Source organism: Homo sapiens, chromosome 1 (assembly GCF_000001405.40).
Source record: "Homo sapiens chromosome 1, GRCh38.p14 Primary Assembly".
Classification (NCBI taxonomy): domain Eukaryota; kingdom Metazoa; phylum Chordata; class Mammalia; order Primates; family Hominidae; genus Homo; species Homo sapiens.
In genome coordinates, this window is record NC_000001.11 from 221,631,678 (window position 1) to 221,655,444 (window position 23,767).

Consider the following 23,767-nt stretch of genomic DNA (forward strand, 5'->3'; position numbering starts at 1 on the left):
TGAGCTAAGATGTAAAGTTTTAAACCCAGGCAATCAGGCCTCAGACACTGTGCTCTTAACAGTACTTTATACTGTCACTCCAGCAGAGGGATAGCAACAGACTCTGAGCAAAAAAAGAACTTGAACATTGATCAGAATAGAGATTAACTCTCATAGTTTTCAATAAAGAATATCTAGCAATTTTTCTTGTACTTTCATTTCTTCTCTCTGTGTGTTTATGTGTGTGTTAAAAATTATAGTCTAGCTTTTAATATCTGTAGATATGTGAGATTACTTAATTATATAATTTTCATTTCAAGGCATAGCTAAAATAATTCTCAATGAATCTTTTTTTGTATCTTCAGGTTTCTAAATTTAAGACCCACCCTAAGAACTATTACTTGTGCATATATAAATGGGATAGTTCCCAGTGAGAAAAAAATTCCCAAGATTTGTTCAACAAATATTTGTCAAGTTTCTACTATCTGTTAGGTTTTGTGCTGAGCACAGGAAATATATGGTTAACAGAGATAGATGTGGTCTCCGCTGTCATGGAGCAGAGACCGGGTCCGTAGAGGGTAAAACAAAGTAAGATACATTGTCTACCACCAGCTATCTGTATGGTGCAGCATCATGTGAACCAGACAGACCTAGGTTCAAGTACTGTGGGCCTGCTATTTATCAGTTGTGTGACCTTGGACAATCGACTTAAGCTCTCTAAATCTCATTATCTCCTCTGTAAAATGAGGGCACTAATTCTATCCTATGCAAACAATTGTGAGGACTAGAGGAGATGAAACATATAAAGCCCCTAACAGGATTTTGGTAGATATGGGAAGATAAAAAATGCTACTGTCATTTTTGGATCTATTATCATAAGGAAGCAGAGTGCGTTCTATGTTATATGTATATTTAAACCTTACTTTCAAAAATTCTCTAACCCTACAAATAATTATGTCAAGTTACAACAATGTCACAGTGTAAACTTGTACATTCACTCCTCCCCATCCCTACCACTGTCTTCTAGCCATTAGCCAGTGGCACTTACCTTCCTCTTGTGTTCCTTTTTATTGCTTGGCTTTTAACTGACTCCTTGTTCATACTTCCACCAAAATTGAGTATTTGACAAGAAAATGAATTAATGTGGTCTTTAAAACCACCAAACAAAAACCCCCACAAATTTGTTTTAACTTTGGAATAAGATTTAATAATTAATAAACAAGAAGGCTACTGGTACAACTGAGTTGGGAGCTAAATGTGTACTTAGTTTATTCATCCTCTTTTGTGTTTCAGAACCTGAATAACAGACCATTTGCTGTGATATTTATTGTTCTTCCCTGGTAACGACCTTGCTTTATGCAATTTCCAAAGTGAGCAGACATCATCTCTGCCTCTGACATCTTCCCCCAAAACAACCCCACCTTCACCCCCACTACAAACAAACAAACAAACAAACAAATGAAAAAAGGGTTGGAAAAACACACTTGTAAGGAAAATAATAGTTCATTTGTGAAAAATATGTCTTTTTTTTTTTTTCTTGAGACGGAGTCTCACTCTGTTGCCCAGGCTGGATAGAATGCTGCAATCTTGGCTCACTGCAGCCTCTGCTTCCCAGGTTCAAGTGATTCTCCTGCCTCAGCCTCCCCAGTAGCTGGGATTACAAGCTTGTGCCACTAGCCCGGCTATTTTTTGTATTTTTAGTAGAGACGGGGTTTCACCATGTCAGCCAGGCTGGTCTCAAACTCCTAACCTCAAGTGATCCACCCGCCTCAGCCTCCCAAAGTGCTGGGAGTCCAGGCGTGAGCCTCCGCGCCCGGCCTTTCCATTCTTATTTGTTTGAACTTGTTGTTCTCAAGTTAGGATTTTAACAATAAACGCCATTTTCCAGTCGGGGGGAAATATTCACAGTATCTTTCCAATTAAAGGCACATTACCTGTGAAAATCCCTTCATTTTGTAACTGAAGAAAATGAGCCTGACAGCATTTGAATATCATCTACCAAGTTCTTGAGTCAACCTGTTCATACATCTAACCAATTAGGAGACCAAAATATCAACTTCAAGTTTTCTTAAAAACAGTGGACTCCGAAGGAAAAAACCTCTTTTTAAATGTGCACTTTGCATCTTTTCTTTCCTTTACTCATTCAGCCCTGGGGAATTAGAATGGGTAACTGATTGGTAAGGTGGCAAAAATGAACTGGTGTACCTGAGTCAACACTGCTCTTGGGATTAGACCCACCTACACCTCCAGTGATCCCTCCCCCAACCAGCCTGGAGAATTGTCTCTGACTAGTGAGCACTTTCCCTAATTCTGGGTCCCGTATGATAAAGCCTGCTTGGCCAACAGCCCTAAAACCACGTCCTCCTATTCAGCCTCTCTCAGCAAATAAGGTGATATTTTGGCCTCCGTCTTATCTCCTCACCACCCCCTGCCACCATTCATTCATAAGCAGGGCAGGAAAGATAAATCACTTATTGGGTCCCCTAAGATTACACCCCTTCAGTATATTTAAATTGTTTTAGCAATATTAATTACTAAATGATTATATTAAATGATTATTAATAATAATTACTAATGATTATTATAATCATTATTAAATAATTAATATTATTTATCATTAGGACATGATAATATTAATAGTAAGTTTTCTAGGGACATAGCTTTTAAGGAAAGGGACGGTTTATGTTGTTATGACATAAAGCAACGTGCCCCTGAAACTTAACCTGTTTCCATTAGAAACACAAAGCCTGTGAGCAGAATTCTCAATATGTGAGAGATGGCCAGACCAGGAGATGGTCCAAGTATCACATCTATACATTTTTAATCACCTTGGCATAAGTTTGCCAGCTGCTGATATATGCATAGGAGAGTGAGAAGATGTAAGTAGAAATAAAGAAAAGGTTGGAAGAGAACAACTATTCAAACATTTTTCATGACATTTGTTAAAGATGATAGGGAAGACTTTATTCAGGAGGGACTACTGCAATGGGGATTGTGCAGTAGGAGCGAGAGGTTGGGCTCAACTTTGAATAGAACAAGGACAAGGCTGGATTTATAGCCAAGGAGAAGGGTGAAGGTCAGTGGAACATTCCTAAGAGGAAACATCAAGGCTGGAGGAAGTCTTGCTAAACAAACTCAACAGACTTCTTTTTCAAGGCAAGCCAACGTGGTATCAAGGGTGAGGGATGGGGAATTTGATCAGATACTGAGGATGACCAGATAACACAGATGGGGGATTTTTGCTAAACTGACTAAGCAGAATTCTTGCTAAAACTAGACTAAGCCCAAGATTGGGGCCTAGTCAGAAAGAGGACTCAGAGGAGCCTGGCTCAAATTTGTTCAAGGAGAAATTTATTTAACAAGATTTCCTTGAATGATCATCTTTTTAACTGAGACCCTAACTTTCATCACCGTCTAAGAGATTCATTTATTCAACAGTATTTTTCATTTATTCATTTAGAAAATATTGTTTACTAAGTATGTGTTATGTGCCAGGTACTGTGCTGGGCATTGAAGATACAATAGTCATTGTGACAAACCATGGCCCCAACCCTCATGAAACTGACCACCTGTGATGGGGAGACAGATAAACAAAAGAGCTACAATTTTTGGCAGCTAAGAAAAAAAACATAAGCACATAAGCAGAGAGCTATACTAGAAAATAACAGGGAAAGCTGAGCTACTTAAGATTAGGTGGTCAAAAAAGGCCACTCAGGGAAGGTAACTTTTGAATTCAGAAATGAGAAAGAGGATATTGGTCATCTCATAAGCCCTAGGAAGAACATCATAGTCATAGGGAACAAAACTAAAAGGGCTCCAAGGCAGAGTGGAGCTGGATTATGCTGATAATGTCAGAAAGCCAGTGTGATAAGAGTCAGGGACGGGCAAGATGGGGCAAGTGCTGTGGAAAGAACAAGCCTAGTATAAGATTCTATGAGCTTTCTTAAAACATTACTCTGGTCACTGTGAGGGTGATATACCTAGGACAATAAAGAACGCAGGAGACTAGTTAGTGGTCTATTAGGCAATCTATGCAAGAAATGAGAGTGGGATAGGGGCGATTAGAGGAAGAGAAAGAAGACAAAACAGCCTAAAGGAGAAAGGTGTTGGGGAAGGCTTACACTGCACAGTAGGTTGTCACTGGAGTAATAACTTCCAGTTATGCCTGTACCTTTCCTGAATGCTGGATTGCTACAGACAGCTACTCCATCAAGCGCAGTGTAGACACCATGCATGGGCCTGCATATAGCTTTCAGATGGACAAGAATATGGAGATCTTAAAACGTGTCAGTGAAGCCAGAAATGGGTGAAGCAATTTGTTTCACAGTCTCCATCTCGCTCTTCCAATACGTATGTCTTGAACACTCAGTATGTGCCAGGCATTGGGGACAGAACAATGAATGGGAGAGGCAAGGTCCCTGCCCTCCTAGAACTCACAACATTGAAGGGGACATGGATCATCAATTGGTAAACAAACACATTTGGTAATTTCAGTGGGTAACAATTCTTATGAACTACAATTGAAGCTGGGGGAGGAGATGACATTCAAGAAGCGAACTGAAGGAAGCAGGAGAACAAACCATGCAGAGATGCAGGATGAAGAGGATGGCTCCATCAACATCATCATCATCATCATCATCATCATCATCAACATGCAGTGCAAAGCCCCCAAGGGGCTGGGGCCTCAGGGTTGGTGTACTCCCTTCGAAAGCTCAGACAGGCTTTCTTCTCATTTCTTAGCATTCTATCTGTATCAGTCCATTCTCACACTACTATAAAGACACTACCTGAGACTGGGTAACTTATAAACGTAGGAGGTTTATTTGACTCACAGTTCTGCATGGCTGGGGAGGCCTCAGGAAACTTACAATCATGGCAGAAGGGGAAGCAAGGATCTTCTTCTCATGGCAGCAGGAGAGAAAAGTCAGAGTGCAGGAAAAACCTGCCACTTTTAAAACCATCAGATCTCGTGAGAATTCACTCACTATCACAAGAGCAGCATGGGTGAAACCAGCCCCATAACCCATTTGGGTGGAGACACAGAGCCAAACCATATTACTATTTAATCTCAACAATTCTAGCTTATATAAAACAGAAAGTATCCTACAGGAAGTTGGATGACTTTTGTTTTTTATAATCCCAAATGTCTTTAATTAAATATCCAAAATTCCATGACAGTCCGTGTAAGTACTTAAGCTTTATACGCAGATGAAAATTCTCAACTATTCAAGTTTAGACAGAAAAACGTGTTATTTGGGCACGCAGAAAGTGTGGGTGTGTGTGCACATGTGAGATAGAGAGAAAGAAAGTGAGAGAGAGAGAGAGAAATTAGAAGGAGGAAGAGAGGGAAGGAGAGAGGGAGAGAAAGAGAGATACACAATCTCAGACCACAGTGGCTTTGTGTGTTACAGATGAAGTCATTTGCTTATAATTGTTCAAAATAGATGTTTACCCAAGGAACTGATAGCAGCTTTGAGACACCAGTCTAACCCTGAGGTTTCTGTGTCTGCTTAGACACGTGGCAGTGACCAGGCCTGAGTGGCATTGATGAGTCCACATGACTCCTTTTCTTCTGATCCACTGTACTGGCCACCAGCCGACCCCAGACACCCTCTCCCTTACAATGGCCTGAATTTCTGGGACTTGAAGGAAAGCACAGTAAGTTTTGGGCCAGAGTCATTTTGATAATGGAGAAGGCGATGATGCCAAGTCTGGGGACTCTGCAACTGAACCCAGGACCAGGATTTTCAATTGAGAACTACCCTGCTCAGGAGAATTGGACAATACAGCTTCTTTTAAAAATGTCCCTTCTGTTGCCTAGAACCAAAACGATTTACTTCCCACTTCCTACTATTTCTCCAGGGAATCTGTTCACAACAAAATTTCACTCTAAAAACAATAAGCCTTATCTTTCCCAGAAACAAATACTCTGGAGCTGCCTGTATGGACCATCTCTCAGAAAGCAGGTGCTTGATCCCAAGGAGAGGCACCATGCCAAGTGAAGTCTTAGCCATCCCATCGCCCCCTAGGCTTGGGTGTGTTTTTCATTCATGTAGGCCGGCTAGAGGCCAGCAGACTAAGCAACATGTGGCCCACACCACTCCCAGCATCCTGCCCACAGCTCTCTGGAGCAGACAGCACCCATAGTTATTTCTTGAGGCTCTGCCAAGAATGTTTTGCTGCAGCCTCCATCCAGCTTGGTGCTGGGACTGCAGCTTCACCAGGCTTTTTCCAGGCTGGCTCTGTCACTCCCCTCTGAGACATTCTAGACTCTTTCAAAATTAACCATGCCTCCCTCTATTGGACAGACCTTACATTGTCTTCATTTCAATGAGTTCAGAATCTCTGGTACCAATAAATAAATATCTTCCCAAAGAGTCTTATTGCCACACATAGCCAGAGCCAGGAAGTATCTGGACATTACTGGCCCTGCTTCCCTCCTCTGCCTGAAGATAGGGAGCTGCTTATCTGAATAGTTTAGATCCCCTTCACTGGAGTAGTTCACTTGATCTTTGGGGGTTAACAACAGAGAGTGGTGACTGCTACCTGCAGCAAAGTCCCTGCCACAAAGAATGGAGGAGTGTCCTGACCATTATTTTAAATCAACTTATTTTGAAGAGATTTAGTAATAAGGATATCTAGCCAAAACTCTGTTTTTTATTTGGAACTCTGAAGGGAAAGTGTTTTTTAAAAACTACTTTAATAGAAACACTACAAAACAGCAAATTTTTAGATTAAAAAAAAAAACCTTTCAAAGGGATTTTGCAGGTATTACATATTTTTAAATCTCTTGTTGAAAAGACATAATGTATCTCCTGGGAAAGAACACAAGTAAATGCTTGACATGGTAAACATATGGCCGTAAAATCTATACATTCTTTCATCTTTCCATGAAAAAGAAAAGGAACATTGTATTAGTCCATTTTCACACTGCTGATAAAGACATACCCAAGACTGGGAAGCAAAAGAGGCTTAATGGACTTACAGTTCCACATGGCTATAGAGGCCTCACAAACATGGCAGAAGGTAAGGAGAAACAAGTCATGTCTTACATGGATGGCGGTAGGCAAAGAGACAGCTGGTGAAGGGGAATTCCTCTTTATAAAACCATCAGATCTTGTGAGACTTACTCACTACCATGAGAACAGCATAAGAAACCCCTGCCCCATGATTCAATTACCTCCCACTCGATCCCTCCCATGACACATGGGAATTGTGGGAATTACAACTCAAGATGTGATTTGAGTGGGGACACAGCCAAACCATATCAAACATTCTTGTCTTTTGATGTTGTCATGATGTCCCCCAAAAGAGATGTTTCCTAAGAGGTATGTATAACAATAGAGATGAAGAATGCATAGAACAAGGGAAACTGCCTTCCCTCTCTCACTCTTCATAGTTCCATAGCCTTGGGAAATCCCATCTGCCATAGTCAACCATGCTGCCAACACCATGGGACAAGGTTCACAGAAGTAAATGGAAATTTCGGAGAAATAGAAAATGCTACTTCTTGGAAGATAATTTAAAATTATCTCCATCTTTACCTTATTTACTTAAATAGTTATTTTAAAAAATGATATGAAATTGCCATATTTATTTGGATCTATTTCTAGACTGTCCTATTGCTCTGTCTAGTTTTCTGCCAGTACCTTATTATTTTCACTACTGTAGCTTTACCATACATTTTCCTACAAAATAGAGCTAATCTCTCTATTGTGGGAGTTTTGAGATTGATGTAGAAAAAATACAAGAACCCAGAGCCCCAAGACCGTAGCCATCCCAGGCACAAGCAAGTTGAATGTGTTCAGACATACTCTGTTAAAGTTGAATATTTTTCTTCATAAATGAAATGTGTTCAGCTGTGGTTTGCTAAATTGATAAGAAATCACAAATGCAGTTAAGCTCCTGAATATAAGGATGTTGCATTATTAGGAAGTTAATTATATGTGTTATATGACTAGATCAAAGGGAAGAACAATGTAATCATTTCAATAATGATTAAATAAAATAACATTTGATTTAATTCCAAATCCAGGTTTTTAAACAAATTCTTAGCAAAATAGGATAGATGAACGTGATTAAAATATATGCATCTTAAACCAAAAGTCCACAGCATGCTAGCCAATGCAATTGGTTGGTAAAACTAAATAAAAGTCGTAGATATTGGAGTGACAGAGAGCGAGAGAGAGAGGGAGAGAATTTTTTTTTCAGATGATCTTATTTTACGTCCAGAAAGTCCAAGAAAAAAATGATAACAGGATAAAAGAAAATATAAAATTATTAAAAACAATTAATTCTATTTTGGTTTCTAATTTATTAATTTCTCCATATATTTTTCCTTGGCTTTCCTTAGATTTTCTTTTCTTTTTATGGTTTTTAAACTTCTTAAGTGGGCCACATTACTTTCTTCTTTATTGTTCTGTGATGTCAATGTTCAAGCTACGAATTTTCCTGTTAGAAAATCTCTCTTTGTATTCCGTAAATCTTTGCCACATCTCACCAATTCTAAGATGCCCTTTTCACATTTTAACATCTCTGAGATAGAAATTTTGAAAGAATAGTATCAATTGTATCTTACTGTCACCGTGGCCAGGAAGTAATTGTCATGTAGTTGCTATTGCACAAACTCAGTTATCTCTGTTCATACTTTTGCTTCACTTGACATGCAAGTATTGTTGGTAATTGCCATTTAAAATACCTTCAAAAAGTTTTCTCTATAATTTGGCATCAAAATTAAGTTATTGTGGGTGCAGAAATACATAGAAATAGATCAGCAGGGCACACGTTTATATTAGTGATGTACACTTCCCCCTTAGAAAAGGTACTAGTGATGTACACTTCCACCTTAGAAAGGGTACTACAGTTTCATATTTTCTTGCAAAGCAGCTACCAAAGGCTTTGCTTGACCTAAGAAAAGAATACATAACCAAGTAGACGAAGTTGTGTTACATTTTGTTCCTGCAATGCATGAGAAAGGATTGTCCATTACATACTAAGCAATGCAACTGAAGGAAGAAGAAAATGCCAACTCCCTTGGAACAGACAGAAGAAATTTCAAAGGAATAAGAGCTGGTATGTCTCACCCATGCATAATGCAGGACTATTGTCAAAGCATCACATATCAATTTGACCAAAAATTCAAGCCGATTTTGAACAGAGGCTGCTTAAATCTAGTTATATACAATTATTCAATAGAGAAAAAAAAAATCATGAGTTTGATCATATAAGAAATACTGATAAAACATCAGCATTCTTTGACATCTTTAAATTATACCGAAAATGCTAAAGGTGATAAAGAGATTAAGATAATGAGCACAGGACACCAAAGCAGCAATCACTGTTTTATAATGCTTTGCATAATTGTCATTAACCAAATTTACTATAATACTTAGCTAAAAGCCATAAGACAATACCTGAGAATGAAATGTTCCTGAAGGATGTTATTAGACATTCACAAAAATAAATAAATAAATAAATAAATAAACCATCACTTAGTAGTGATAGAGAACTGACTAAATGTCATCTGGAAAAGATGGGCAGGTTTCTTAAAGAATAAGTAGGAGTGGCAGGCATGGTGGCTCACACCTGTAATCCCAGCACTTTGGGAGGCCAAGGGGGGCAGATCACCTGAGGTCAGGAGTTCGAGACCAGCCTGGCTAACATGGTGAAACCCTGTTTCTACTAAAAAAAATACAAAAAATTAGCTGGGCATTGTGGCACACACCTGTAATCCCAGCTACTCGAGAGACTGAGGCAGGAGAATTGCTTGCTTGAACGCAGGAGGCAGAGGTTGCAATGAGATGAGATCGCACCGTTGCACTCCAGCTTGGGCAACAAGAGCAAAATGCTGTGTCAAGAAAAAAAAAAAAAGAGTAAGTAGATAAGTAGGAGTGTTTCAGGAGGAGAAATAAGGAACAGGCATTACAAGCCAAACAGCACAGCAAAAGTATAGGAGAATATAGAAGATGATAAACCCATTTGGAGAAAGAAAAAATTCTGTTTGAACAGGAGCTTCTACATGGCAAAGGATATGTCAGTTTGGCCACACCCTTTAAATAGGACTGGGTGAGACGTTGGAAACTGTATAGAGATCTTCTTGGTAGTAGAGTCCCTCAGTAGCAGTACGGCCTAAATCACACTGCTGGAGGGTCTTCCTACTTCTGATTTTATTCCTCTTTTTGTCTCCTGTGCAAGTACAGAGCGTAGTGCTTATTGGACATTGAAGAAGTATTTTTGAGTTGAAAATAAGAGTTTTGTAGCTGCAAGATTGTCCTGCAGAATGCTGAGCATGTGGAAGACCTCAATACATAGACTGAGTGGCGGCTTGATTTGCCAAAAATTTTCATGAGCTTAGTTGGCAGGATTCACTGCCAAAAATCATAAACATTTTTTTCTTCATATTGCTTGCTTTATCCATCATGCAGGTGTGTTCCCTCAGAGCCCCTCTGTAGTGCTGTGGCCTTCTCCACATTCCATGCTGCCTAGACCTCGCTTGTCTCCCTCACTGCCATTTCCTCCAATTCTGTGCCATAGTGAGTTGTTAAAATAGCAATGGCAAATGTAGCATTGCATTTCTTCTCAGCAAGGTCTCTTTGGGCATCAGCTCATTTAACTAGATTTTTGGAAAAAAAATTGTAACATCTATACAAAATGAAGAAGTATGATTATTCGGTGACATCTTATCTTAGGTCTTCTTGTTTTTAAACAAATGCCAGAGATTATACCTTCTCCCCATCATCACTAAATAAATTAAGAAAAAACAAAATAAATATAGCTCAGTCTTTGGTTCAGGGTTAAATTGAAGCTCTTACATTAATAGGAAATACTTGAGATGTGCATTAAAAAATATTCAAGAGTGGATGATTAATTTTTTAAGTTGGAAATGTGTATATTCAACACAAGATTGAAGATTCATAATTAGAGGCAGGAGGCATGGTGTGAAGAGACACAGATAGATAGACAGACAGACAGACAGACATTGGCTACTTTGTAAAATATATTCTTGCTTTAGCCTTAAATAGAAATTTTGCTTACTTAACAATAGATGTAAACAAAAAACTTTCATATTTTAAAAATTTATTTTATTATTTAGATTACTGGTGTTATCTTTGTTTTAAAGAGAATGTTCTGGCTGGGCGCAGTGGCTTACGCCTGTAATCTCAGCACTTTGGGAGGCTGAGGCAGGCAGATCACAAGGTCAGGAGATCGAGACCATCCTGGCCAATATGGTGAAACCCCGTCTCTAGTAAAAATATGAAAAATTAGCTGGATGTGGTAGCATGCACCTGTAGTCCCAGCTACTCAGGAGGCTATGGCAGGAGAATGGTGTGAACCCAGGAGGCAGAGCTTGCAGTGAGCCGAGATCGCGCCACTGCACTCCAGCCTGGGCAACAGACCAAGACTCCGTCTAAAAAAAAAAAAATGAAAAGAAAAGAAAAGAAAAGAAAAGAAAAGAAAAGAAAAGAAAAGAAAAGAAAAGAAAAGAAAAAGAGAATGTTCTATTTCACAGAGCTAGGATTGACTACCATCTTGTGCCGGCCAAGGAGAGACACTGAATACTGTAACCTCAATTTACTATGTCAGTAATTTGGCAAGAAGGAATTCTTAATGGAGTGAGAGAAATATACCTTTTTTTGTGTGTGTCTCTAAAGCCAAAATTTTATGCTTCTTGCAAGAGAAGCAATGTCACAAATCTCAAAATTATAATAATATAGACTGTAAGAACTTGAAGGAACAGAAAGAGGTGCCTCATCCAATCCTCTCAGTTTACAGATGAAATAAATAAATAAATAAATAAATACATTGACTGGTTACAGACACTATAACAAGCTAGTGATAGAGCCAAGACTAGAACCCAAGTTCTGATTTTACATAATTAATTGGCCAAGGACATTTAACAGGCCAACTAGTCTAATTCAGAAACACCTGGGTTGTCTATGCAGTCATAGGCTAATTCAGTAGAGTTCAAGAATACTTAGAATCTCTCTTTTAGCAGATTTATGGACTTATAAACCACAAGTAAAATGTATTAAGGTAAAATTTGCTTAAAGGAATTGATAATTAAACCTGAGAGATCAAAAGTCCTAATTACTGAACCATGGCTGCCTAGTAAAGGTGGTTCTGAGAAAGAGACAAGAAATGGCTGTGTGCTTCTCCCCATTTCTCAGACGAGAAAATTGAGGCATGAGAAAAACAACAAAACCATCTTGCTGCAGAAGAAATGACTCCAAAGAAAAGATTTCTTTTTCCTGGGCTGCATTCTGCAATCCAAAATTTGTATAAATCTATAAAGCACTCAAGATTCAGCAAGGGCTCCAGCCCAATCAATAAATAATATGTAGAGTTGAGAGATTGAGGTCTCTCAGCAGCTTTACCAAGATCTATTAAAAGTAATTTCAGTTCCCTTTTGAATTGCAGTTCTTTTTCTTTTAGCTCTGCCAGAAGGTTTTTATTTTATTTGTTCTTGCATTTTGGATGGTGTCCTTTGTTGGCTGTAGGATGGATTTGATTATCTCATTTCATTTGGTCCTTTCCAGCCTATTTCTGTGATTTGAGTGGGTTGGAAATGGATTTCAAACTTGTTTCCAAATTTGAGGGAGGAGGACATTCTCAACAACCTTGCTTCTTGTCCTCCCCAGTGGGTCACAGGCCTGCCTTTCCATCCGGGAGTCCCCATGAACCTCGGACTCCCCAGTTCCGTTCTTGCTCCAGCTATGCTTATTCCATTATTTGCTGCCAAGCCATAGGATACCTCCAAATTAGGCAGGCCTTTTCAGATTGACTTTTAAGGAGAGGAGTGCCTATTGTTTACAGTATTTCAAGTCCATTTTAAAAGCCAGAAAGTCAATCAGCATATCAAACAGCAACTCTTTATTGGGAAACTACAGTATCTGACACATTGAAAGTCAAAAATAAGCCCAGCAGAAATCATGGCTCAGACAGGCTGAAGATTTTCCTCACTGACTTCTACCTCTCTATTCATGCAGAGATGGGCAGGATTCCTTCTTAGACAAGGAGGGCAAGTTCACCAAAGTCATACAACCATTTTTTCACAGAAGCTGAAAGCAAAGCAAGGGATGTCTACAACACTAGGATATTTTTTTCACTCACAATCTTCCAGGACATTGCAATGCTAAACCTGAAAATGACATGCTATGATTTGCACAGTTCTCTACCAAACAGCACCTAATTACAGCAATTTCCTGTGAGCTGCTTTCCAGATTTCAAGACAGCCTGCCCTTTGCAGTAGACATCACTGCATGATTCCAGTGACAAGGAGGGAGGAAAAAGGTTTCCTTCAGAAGCCGTGTTAAATAGCAGCCCCTACTAAGCATGTAGCAGCCACACTTTATCTCACTGACTTAAAGATGAGTAACACACCTGTTCCTGGAAGGCCTAACACTGCTTGCATTTCTTTCCTCACCACAGTGTGATGGCAATTGCACTGCTCTGTTTCTTTCAGAGGGCATATCCTTTCACTACAAGACCTCTGGAAATATTCTAGCCCATCTATGAATGGAGGTTTGTAAAACTGAGAGACGATCTGCTGCATTTTGAACTGTGGTTCTAAATAGAGGCAGAGCACACTGCACCTGAATCAAAACCTTGGGGAAAGCTGAGGTCAGGAGACCCGCGTAGTCTGATTTGAAACCCCTGGTCTACTGGGGACACTGATGCATTTCCAGAAAGGACTACAAGAATCTCCCAGTGCTTTGGCTATAACCCTCACCACATTTTAGTTAATAAAAGAGGCATTGATTTCCTCAAACTTTCAGAGCTTCTTTCAGGCCAGGTCTTAATTTATTTCTGAATAAGCAAGGGTTCAAGTAAATAACTGCAGTGTTTATGAAGAACTTTCCTCAAGCTCAGTGGGTTTCTGAAGATTGTTTGCTCTTAGGACCCTCTAGGTCTTATTATAGAGTCAAGACTTATCATGTTAAGGACAATAGAGGATAGCAAATGACTAAATGATTTTAGCAATATATGCTTGAATAATTTGGATAAAAGAGACTTAATGTGATTATTTTTGAGCAATTCCTTATGGGGAAAAATACACTTGAACCAGATCTTAAAGTGTGAGCTGGGGATACAAAGAAGAGGAGAGAGTGGGGATTTCAGGCCCTCAGGAATGAGCATGTAAAGAGGGTGAGGACTCGGCTGGAGCAGAGGCTATGCAGGGTTCCCTTCTATGGCTCAGATGCTCTCCCAGACCTCGATGCCAGAAGCAACAGAAACCTGCCTAGAGAACAGCTAGCCCAGTCTGCAGTTATCTTCCTGCAAAAGACACTTAAGGCAATTGGATTTTCCTTCTGTCAACAATAAGAGCTTTCTGGAAATGCTAAAAAAGCTAATCTAGACCAGCTGAAAAATTGTACAACATGACAAATGAAAGAAATCACCATTTCCATATAAAGATGTATTGTATCCACTGTCTCCCTTGTGCATTAATCTTATAATTCTATCAAAAAGCAATAATTAACTTTGCACAGAATTATTTTTAAATATAACATTTTTATAGCTCATGAGTTGGTGCTATTCTAGTTATTTATGAATTTTTTCTCTTTAATGGTATATTATTTTATCATGGAAGAGACAGATTAGCATAAGAACTTTAGAGGGAGACAGATGTGGATATGAATCCAACTCTGCTAATTACCAGTCATGAGTCATTGAGGAAGAAACTGACATTTTCTGAGCCTTGATTTCCTAGAAAATAACATGGAATTCAACATTTGTTCATAGAAACGATGGACCATTAAGTAAAATGACATACCAAAATATACCTGGCACAAGGCAGTCATTCAATAAATGGGCACTATTGTTACAGTTCTCCTATTTGTAATATCTAAGAGTTTACTCTATTTGTTGGAGTCAGGGGAGGGGCATTACATTAAAAATCTTAATTTAATTTATTTTATTTTCTATTATCTTTCTTTTTGTATGCTAATGAATCCAAGCAACTATTGAAACTAATCCCTAAACTTCACAGTTTAAACGTTTTCCAATAATCCCAAAGGGCTATGAAGAAACCAAACTTAGAACAAATAAATATAGGATATGCAGCTTATATAAACCCAAGGCTTAATAACCTCAGTTAATTTAGTACATTGGACAAAAAAATCTGTCCAACTAGTTGCCTCAATGGAATAACCAGCTGGATTAACTGAATTTTTAATTTACCAACAAATTGAATATTACCACCTCACATCAGATTAGAAATGTGTATGTGGTCAAATCATGAAGCCTGGTGTTTTAGTCTGTTTTCTGTTGTTATAATAGAATACCACAGACTGGATACTTTATAAAGAAATGTATTTCTTACAGTTCTGAAGACTGGGAAGTCCAAGAGCATGGCACTAGCATCTGGGGAGGCCCTTCTTGCTGCCTCGTAACATGGCAGAGGGCATCACATGGCAAGACAGCAATGGTGTACCAGTGTAGGTCTCACTTCCTCCTCTTATAAAGCCATGAGTCCCATCATGGGGGCCCTGTCCTGATGACCTACTCTAATCCTAATTACCTCCTAAAGGCCTCACCTCCAAATACCATCAGCATATGAATTTGGAGATTAAGTTTTCAACACACGAAATTTGGGGGCACATTCAACACTGTGGCAGTCATGAATAGTAGATTTCTATCCTTTGCACCACTTTGAACTTTTTGCTTGCTAGCTAGCAGTCAAATATGTGAAACAAAAGCAAGACTGTTTTTAGGCACAACTGAAGTAGGCATCTGCCTTTGGGTATAGTTGAAGAGTCAGCATATCACACAGCCAGGAAGCTTCTAATGAGCTTTATATTCTAAGTTTATATAGCAGATTTAAAAATTCTTCATAATTACCATATTGAGAATGTTTAATATTCTCATGCCATTTCAGACTGCACATGCCATACCAACATGCTGACATGTCTCTCTCACTTCTCTGTTGAGGATCACTTATATGCAGAGTGATGTGGTTGCCATGAAAACTAATGTTCCTTGAGCCTCTATAAAGGTAGGCTCTGTAATGAGGAGTATATTGATTTTGCTTTACTGTCTTTTGGCTGGCAACATCAAATCCAGTAACTTTAAAAGAATTACTGGCAAACTGGAAAGAGGAAAAAAACTCAAAATCCTGTTACATGACAAATGATTGAAGGAACAAAGTCCTGGATAAGAGTGCAGTGTGAGGAGGGAGAACTTAATTCCTAACTATCACTATTTGACTGTTGGCCATTCCTCTATTAGAATAGAGCTAAATATAGTGATAATGACAATGACTAACTTACACTGAGCAATTACTATGTTATGGACCCTGTTTTAAGCTATTAAGTGCTACGTCACTCAATCCATACAAAATCTATGAGGATTGTGTTATTATTGTACCCATGGTGTAGATGAGGAAACAAAGTCATTAAAAGATTAAATGACTTATGCACAGTCAAACGATAAGTAAAGATTACGTAACTTGTCCATGGCTGGCACTGAACTCCAGAGCCCATAGTACTATCTGTTTGGTGTGGCCCTGGTGGGTGAGAAGGGGTAGCTGGTAACCATCCAGTGGGAACAACCATTTGGTGATTTAAGCAGGTGGGTGTTGGGACACATGGGAGTGGTAATGACCAAGTCAGTTAGATGAAATGAGTTTTTGAGGATTTACTTACTAGTTTTTCCCTGCTTTTCCTATTAGGACTGATGGGTCTCCCTTCCTTTAAGCTATAGTATGAAAGCCATGTGGTAAGGTGTCAAAGGTGTGGACCAGATTCAATGTGTGACTCATTGGTTTCTTAACTATGTGACCTCGGGAAAAAAAAAAGTTACTTAATACCTTATGCTTCCTCTGTAAAATGTGCTCTAAAATATTAATCTTAAAAAGATATACAGTTTATTCTATAGGTATTACTAGAAGATGAATAATTATAATCTATTCTTATTGAAATTAAGTTGACTTTGCTACCCAGAGCCTATTGAGTTAAGAGAGAAAGACATTTGTAGAAACAACTCTGGGAGACTGGAATGGTTGTACTATGAATGGGACATGAGAGATTCTCTCTAGATCATTATCCTTTACCTGTGAAAAAGCTAAGGACTAGGATGTCATTTATACTACATACAGATGCAACTACCAGTAACAACAGTATTTCTTAGTGTTGCATTTCCTGAACCTCTTGGGGATGTTAGCAGATTCTGCATGAGAAAGAAAGGGAATCTGAAATAAAACTCACTTCAGTCAAAGCGTGTGAAGTTTTAATTATAGAAGATAAATATGTTCTGAAGATCTACTATATGGCATAGTGCCTATAGGTGACAGTAGTGTAATATGTGCTTAAATTTTACTAAGAGGGTAGATCTTATGTTAAGTGTTCTTACACTTTCCTCACACACACAATAACAACAAAATGGATGGGAAGAAACTTTGGAAGGTGTTAGATAACGTTCATAGCCTTGATGGTGGTGATTCATTTCATGGGTATATTCTTATTCCCAAACTCATCAACTTGTTAATATATTAAATACGTGCAGCTTTTTACATGTCAATCACACATCAATAAAGTGGTTTTTAAATTATTTAAGAGGAATTCTATTCAATTTCCCTCTTAAGGGTGGAAAGATAATTAGCTTATGAAAGTTTCTGAGAAGTTCTGGTAAAGAAACTTACTTAGACTTGTAACTAAAAATCCCGTGTTGTGATTAAGCAGGATTTATCTCAGGAAAGCCAGAAAAATTAATACCAAAAAACATGTAAGTATAAACCACTCTCCAATATGTTATGGTAGAAAAATCATACTCATTGATTCTGAAAAGGAATTTGAAATGCCAGAGCCATTCTTACTAAAACATTATATAAATGAAGAATAAAAAGAAATATTTAAATATAACAAATACCATATACTTGATAATGATATAGCATGATAATAAATAGCAAAATAGTAGGGCGGTTTTAATTTACAAAAGGAACTGGACAGAGGTGGTTGTTATCATCATTATTTTTTATATTTCCTTGGAGGTTTTCACACATACAATAAGGCAACAACATAAAATAACTGATATGAACACATGAGAAAGAAGAAAGTTATTTCTCCTTTTACCCATCAAAACTCAAAATACTATGATAAAAAATACTAGAATAATTTTGGAAAAGTTACTGGGTACAAGATGAAATAAAAACACTACGAAATTTTATTTCATTTAACAGTAACATCTAGAAACAGCAATGTGAAATTTAGTTCATTGTAAAATCCATAAAATGCTTAGAAATAAATGTAACAAGGAAGGCACAGTACCCATATGGAAAGAGCTATAAAATGTTATTAAAAATATAAAAATAACATCTTAATAAAAGAAAGGGCATACCATGTTCTTAAAGAAAAAGACAATATCAATTATATTAAAATTAATATATCAATTTATTCAACTCCAATTAGAATTCCTGCTTTCTAAAACTAGAGAATATTATTCTTTTTTGGGGGGTGGGGGGATAGGGTTTCACTCTGTTACCCAGGATGGAGTGCAATGGCACAAGTTTGGCTCACTGCAGCCTCAACCTCCCAGGCTCAAGCCATCCTCCCATCTTAGCCTCCTGAGTAGCTGGGACTACAGGCTACAGTTATGCACCACCACGCCTGGCTAACTCTTTGTATTTTTTGTAGAGACAGGATTTCACCATGTTGCCCAGGCTGATCTGGAACTCCTGGGCTCAAATGATCCTCCTACCTCAGGCTCCCAAAGTGCTGGGATTACAGGTGTGAGCCACCATGCCTGGCCTAAATTAGAGAAAATTATTCTAAAGTCAATATGGAAGAATACATTTCCAAGGAGCACCAAGGCAAGTGAAGAACAGCAAGGGAACACGACTTGCCTCATTAGATATCAACAACCCCCAAAAGTAAGTATAATCAGGTCAAAGTGGTATTGGTATAGGAACACACAGATTTATAAATAGAATAAATCATTCAGAAGTGCGATATATGGTATATATGTTAAATATTCATTTTATTTAGATGGAAAAGTAATGGAATTTTTAAGAAATAGGGTCAGAATAACTGACTCCTCATTTAGAAGAGAAAAATGAAACCCCATGTAACACCATATTCAAACATCAATTTCAGATAAAGATCTACCTGTGAAAAGATAAACAATAATTCTTTAAAATTTTTTCTTTCAACATTGAAGCCTAAACAATAAAATTTTTGCCAGAAATATTTCAGAAACTACAGGTACAATGGAACCTAACCTAATCTTATAGTCTAAAAGCCGTAAAATGATAATGGAAATAGTTAAATACTATATCAGAATGAAAAACAATCAGATGATAAACGATGCCATATACAAAGTCAATAGACAAGTTATAGATTTGAGGAAGGATTTGTAACACACAGAAAAGTATTCAGTTTTATACTAAACAAAAATGGTTAAAAAATTTAAATGTGGGCAAAAATACATAAATAGATAACCCAAGTGATGCAAATAGAAGTGTCAAATTTAGGCCAGGTGGGGTGGCTCATGCCTGCAATCCTAGTACTTTGGGAGACTGAGGCAGGAGGATTACCTGAGCTCCCAAATTCGAGACCAGCCTGGGCAACATGGTGAAACCCTGTCTCTTCGAAAAATATGAAAATTAGCTTGGCATGGTGGTGTGCACCTGTAATCCCAGCTTCTCCAGAGGCTGAGGTGGAAGGATGGTTTGAGCCCAGGAGGTAGATGTTGCATTGAGCCGAGATGGTGCCACTGCACTCCAGCCTGGCCCATAGAGCTAGACCTTGTCTGAAAAACAAAACAAAACAAAAAAAGAGGTATCATATTTATAAGTGAAAAGATGATCAAATGTACGTCTAGTCAGGAAAATGCAAATCAAAACAAATAATAAGATATCACTTTATGTCTACCAGAAAAACAAATTATTTTTAAACTGTAAATGCTGTAGTAGATTTTTCCACCAGAATGAAAGCTCCACTGGGAGAGTAATATTTTTATTCATTGCTGTATCCCTGGAGTCTAAAATAGATTCTGAAAAAAATAGGTGCTTGCTCGACATTTGTGAAATGAACAATGGGTATAGGTAACAATTCCACAGCACTTATGTGCCAAGCATGAATTGCTCTGCAGGTGAATTCATTTGACCTTCCCTACGCCCCTATGAAGTAAGGGTTGTTATTACCATTTTGCAGATGTGGAATTTGAGGCACGAGGGGGCACATCTAATAAGTTACGGAGCTAGGAATTGAATTCAGGCAGTCTGGCACCTGATTGTCTGCACCTAAGGACAAGAATGTACTGCCTCTTCCCCTATCCACATCACTGGTTGGGGTATGGGAAAGAGCACAACTTTTATATGGAAAGCAAGTTGGCAGGAATTCCACTCCTAAAACCAAAAAATACCAAGAAGTAAGGATATGTGCAAGGACACTTATTGCCCCATTTTTTGAAGTGGAAAAAAGTGAAAGAAAAGGAAATTGCTGAATAATTTGTGGTAAATACACATGACAGAATAGTATGCTGCTATGAAAATAAAAAATTAGAATCACGACAGTTGACTTGGATCAATGTTAGTAAAGATAACTTATTAAAAAAATTTTAAATATGCAAACAGAAATATAAATATAATATTCTAATTTTGGTAAAATTGGACAAAAACTGTGTGTGTGTGTGTGTGTGTGTGTGTGTGTGTGTGTGTGTGTATGTGCCTTGATATGATTAAATTACTAGAGAAACACTTCTAGCTTGTTACCATGGGTACCCAGGGGATTGGGCTGGGTACCGATGCAAGTAGGATAAGGAAAACAAAGTGAAAACCAAGTAAAAAATTGGAAAAATAAATACTATTATTAGAAGTGTATATGATCAGCCGGATGTGGTGGTTCATACCTGTAATCCTAGCACTTTGGGAGGCCGAAGCAGGCGGATCATCTGAGGTCAGGAGTTCGAGACCAGTCTGGCCAACATGGCGAAACACCATCTCTACTAAAAATATAAAAATTAGTCGGGTGCGATGGTGGGAGCCTGTAATCCCAGCTACTAGGGAGGCTGAGGCAGGAGAATCACTTGAACTCAGGAGGTGGAGGTTACAGTGAGCCGAGATCGTGTCACTGTACTCCAGGCTGGGTGACAGAGTGAAAGTCTGTCTCAAAAAAAAAAAAAAAAAAAGAAGTGTGTATGATCACATTTATGCACTTTGTGAGATTATGTATAATAAAAATAAATTTAAAGTATCTATTAAATTTTTTGCCCCCTTTTTCGTTAAGTGGGTTTGTTTTTGAGTTGTATGAATTGTTTGTATATTCTGGACACAACTATTTATTAAAGGTACTCATTGAAAATATTGTCTCCTGGTCTGTGACTTGACTTTTAATTTTATTAATGCTGCCTTTTGAAGGGCAGATTATTTAAATTTTGATGAAATTTAAATAATCACTTTTTCTTTTTCATGTTCAAGTACTATTTATGAGTTGTCTAAGAAGTATTTGCCTATTCCCAAAAGTCACAAAGATTTTCTTATGTTTTTTGTAATAGTATTATATAGTTTTTCTTTTTATGTTTATACCTATATTTCATTTACAGTTAATTTTTATATATGATTTCAGATAGGGGCTGATATTTGTTTAGCTTTTAGCCATCAGGGAAATGAATACCATATTTGTAATGGTATCTCATCACTATCAGATACCACTGCAAATCAGCTAGAATGGCTAAAATTAAGAAGACTGACAATACAAGAGTTGACAAGGATATTTAACAACTGCAGCTCTTATCCACTGTTAGTGGGAGTATAAAATGTTACAACCACTTTGGGAAACAATTTGACAATTTCTTATAAATTTACTATGTGCCCCACTTAGCATGTGTCCTAGCAACTTCACTTTCAATTATTTACATGAAAGAAACAACTTGTAAATAAATCTTCATACAGCTTTATTGATAATAGCTCCACTGAAATTAACCCAAATGTTGGTCACTAGGTGAATGGATTAAAAAAAAAAAAAACCTGTGGTGCAGCCGTAATTCTATTCAATAACTTTTTTTAAAAAGTGAACTTAATTCCTGCAATAACATGAATGAATCTCAACAATATTATCCAGAGTGAAGGAGCCACATATATGTTTGTACATATTTTATGTTTCATCTATATGAAATAAGGCCAGTGTAGTTACCTAGGGCAGGCCTGGGGAGGAAGTCATTGCAGAGTTCACAGGGGTACCTTTTGGGGTGATGGAAATGTTCTATATCTTGACTGGGATGATGGTTACACAGAGAGACACATCTCACTTATGGAACTGTACATTTATTTATTTATTTATTTATTTATTTTGAGATGGAGTCTCTCTCTGTCGCCCAGGCTGGAGTGCAGTGGCACAATCTTGGCTCACTGCAAGCTCCACCTCCTGGGTTCAAGCCATTCTCCTGCTTCAGCCTCCCGAGTAGCTGGGACCACAGGCGCCTGCCACCACGCCCGGCTACTTTTTTGTATTTTTAGTAGAGACAGGGTTTCACCGTGTTGGCCAGGATGGTCTCGATCTCCTGACCTCGTGATCCGCCTGCCTCAGCCTCCCAAAGTGTTGGGATTACAGGTGTGAGCCACCGCGCCCGGCCGGAATTGTACTCTTAAAACAAGCCTCTCTTATTACAGGTAAATTACACTTCAATAACTTTTTTTAAAAAAAAGAAGAGTTGACTTTAAAAAATAAAATAGAAACATGAAATAAAGCTCCTGATGAAGGCTCTTTGCCATCAAAACTATCTGTGGTCTGCATTGATGTCTGGCTTCTCTGATTCTTGCCAAACTGCTCATCGCTATTAAGACTAAGTTTCTCTCCAGGTTGATTCAAAGCAACCAATCCAATCTTTTTAACACATTTTTATGTATGTATGTATGTATGTATTTATTTTTAGACATAGGTGGGCCACCGAAGTTCTTTGACTTGCTATTTATTTCTTTCCACCATTATGTCTCCACCTCTCTAGTAGCGCTGAGCCAGTCGACTTATCATTTGTTTGCATCTGCCTTACAGATTTCTACCTTTCAACCTTCTTAATCCTTCACCGGGAATATTATGGCCTGCCCTGGTAAACAATATGTCCCTTCCTCCTTCAAAACATGTTCTAAACTTCTCTCCTAGGGAACTGACATGGTTTGAATGTTAGTCCCCTCTAAATCTCATGTTGAAATGTGATTCCCAATGTTGGAGGTGGGGCCTGGTGGGAGGTGACTGGATTGGAGGGTCTCACTCTGTCACCCAGGCTGAAGTACAGTGATGTGATCTCAGTTCACTGCAACCTCCGCCTCCTGGGCTCAAGCGGTTCTCATGCCTCAGCCTCCCAAATATCAATATCAATATCCCAAGTAGCTGAGACTACAGACATGCCACCACGCCCTGCTAATTTTTGTATTTTTGGTAGAGATGGGTTTTGCCATGTTGGCCAGGCTGGTCTCAAACTCCTGGTCTCATGTGATCTGCCCATCTCGCTCTTCCAAAGTGCTGGGATTACAGGCATGAACCACCATGCCTGGCCCCCAATCCAATCTTTTTAAAAGGAGATTCCTCCACTTCTCTAAAATCTTAGATACATTTACTTTTCAGTCATATCTTATAAACTGCCAACGCCCATCTTTAAAAATTGCAAGTGTGAGTTTCTTGAGCTGACATTCATTATGAATGGGGGCCTAACTTGGGATCTCACAGACAACCATTAACTATTGCTGAACAATCCTAACTTAAAAAATACAATCCCTCAGGCACAGGTAATAGTTTATAAATAATTTATGACACTGTCCCAGCCTTTGACACTCTGAGCAGCCTCTTGTTACCAGGTA

General features: G+C 38.3%; 1 annotated feature.

Annotated features, from left to right (window-relative positions):
• Positions 2,950 to 3,244: a silencer, noted in NCBI's record as "tiled region #4850; HepG2 Repressive non-DNase unmatched - State 24:Quies". NCBI's record gives its function as "represses a minimal TATA promoter and a strong SV40 promoter by Sharpr-MPRA in HepG2 cells {active_cell/tissue: HepG2}" and the evidence as "EXISTENCE:reporter gene assay evidence [ECO:0000049][PMID:27701403]".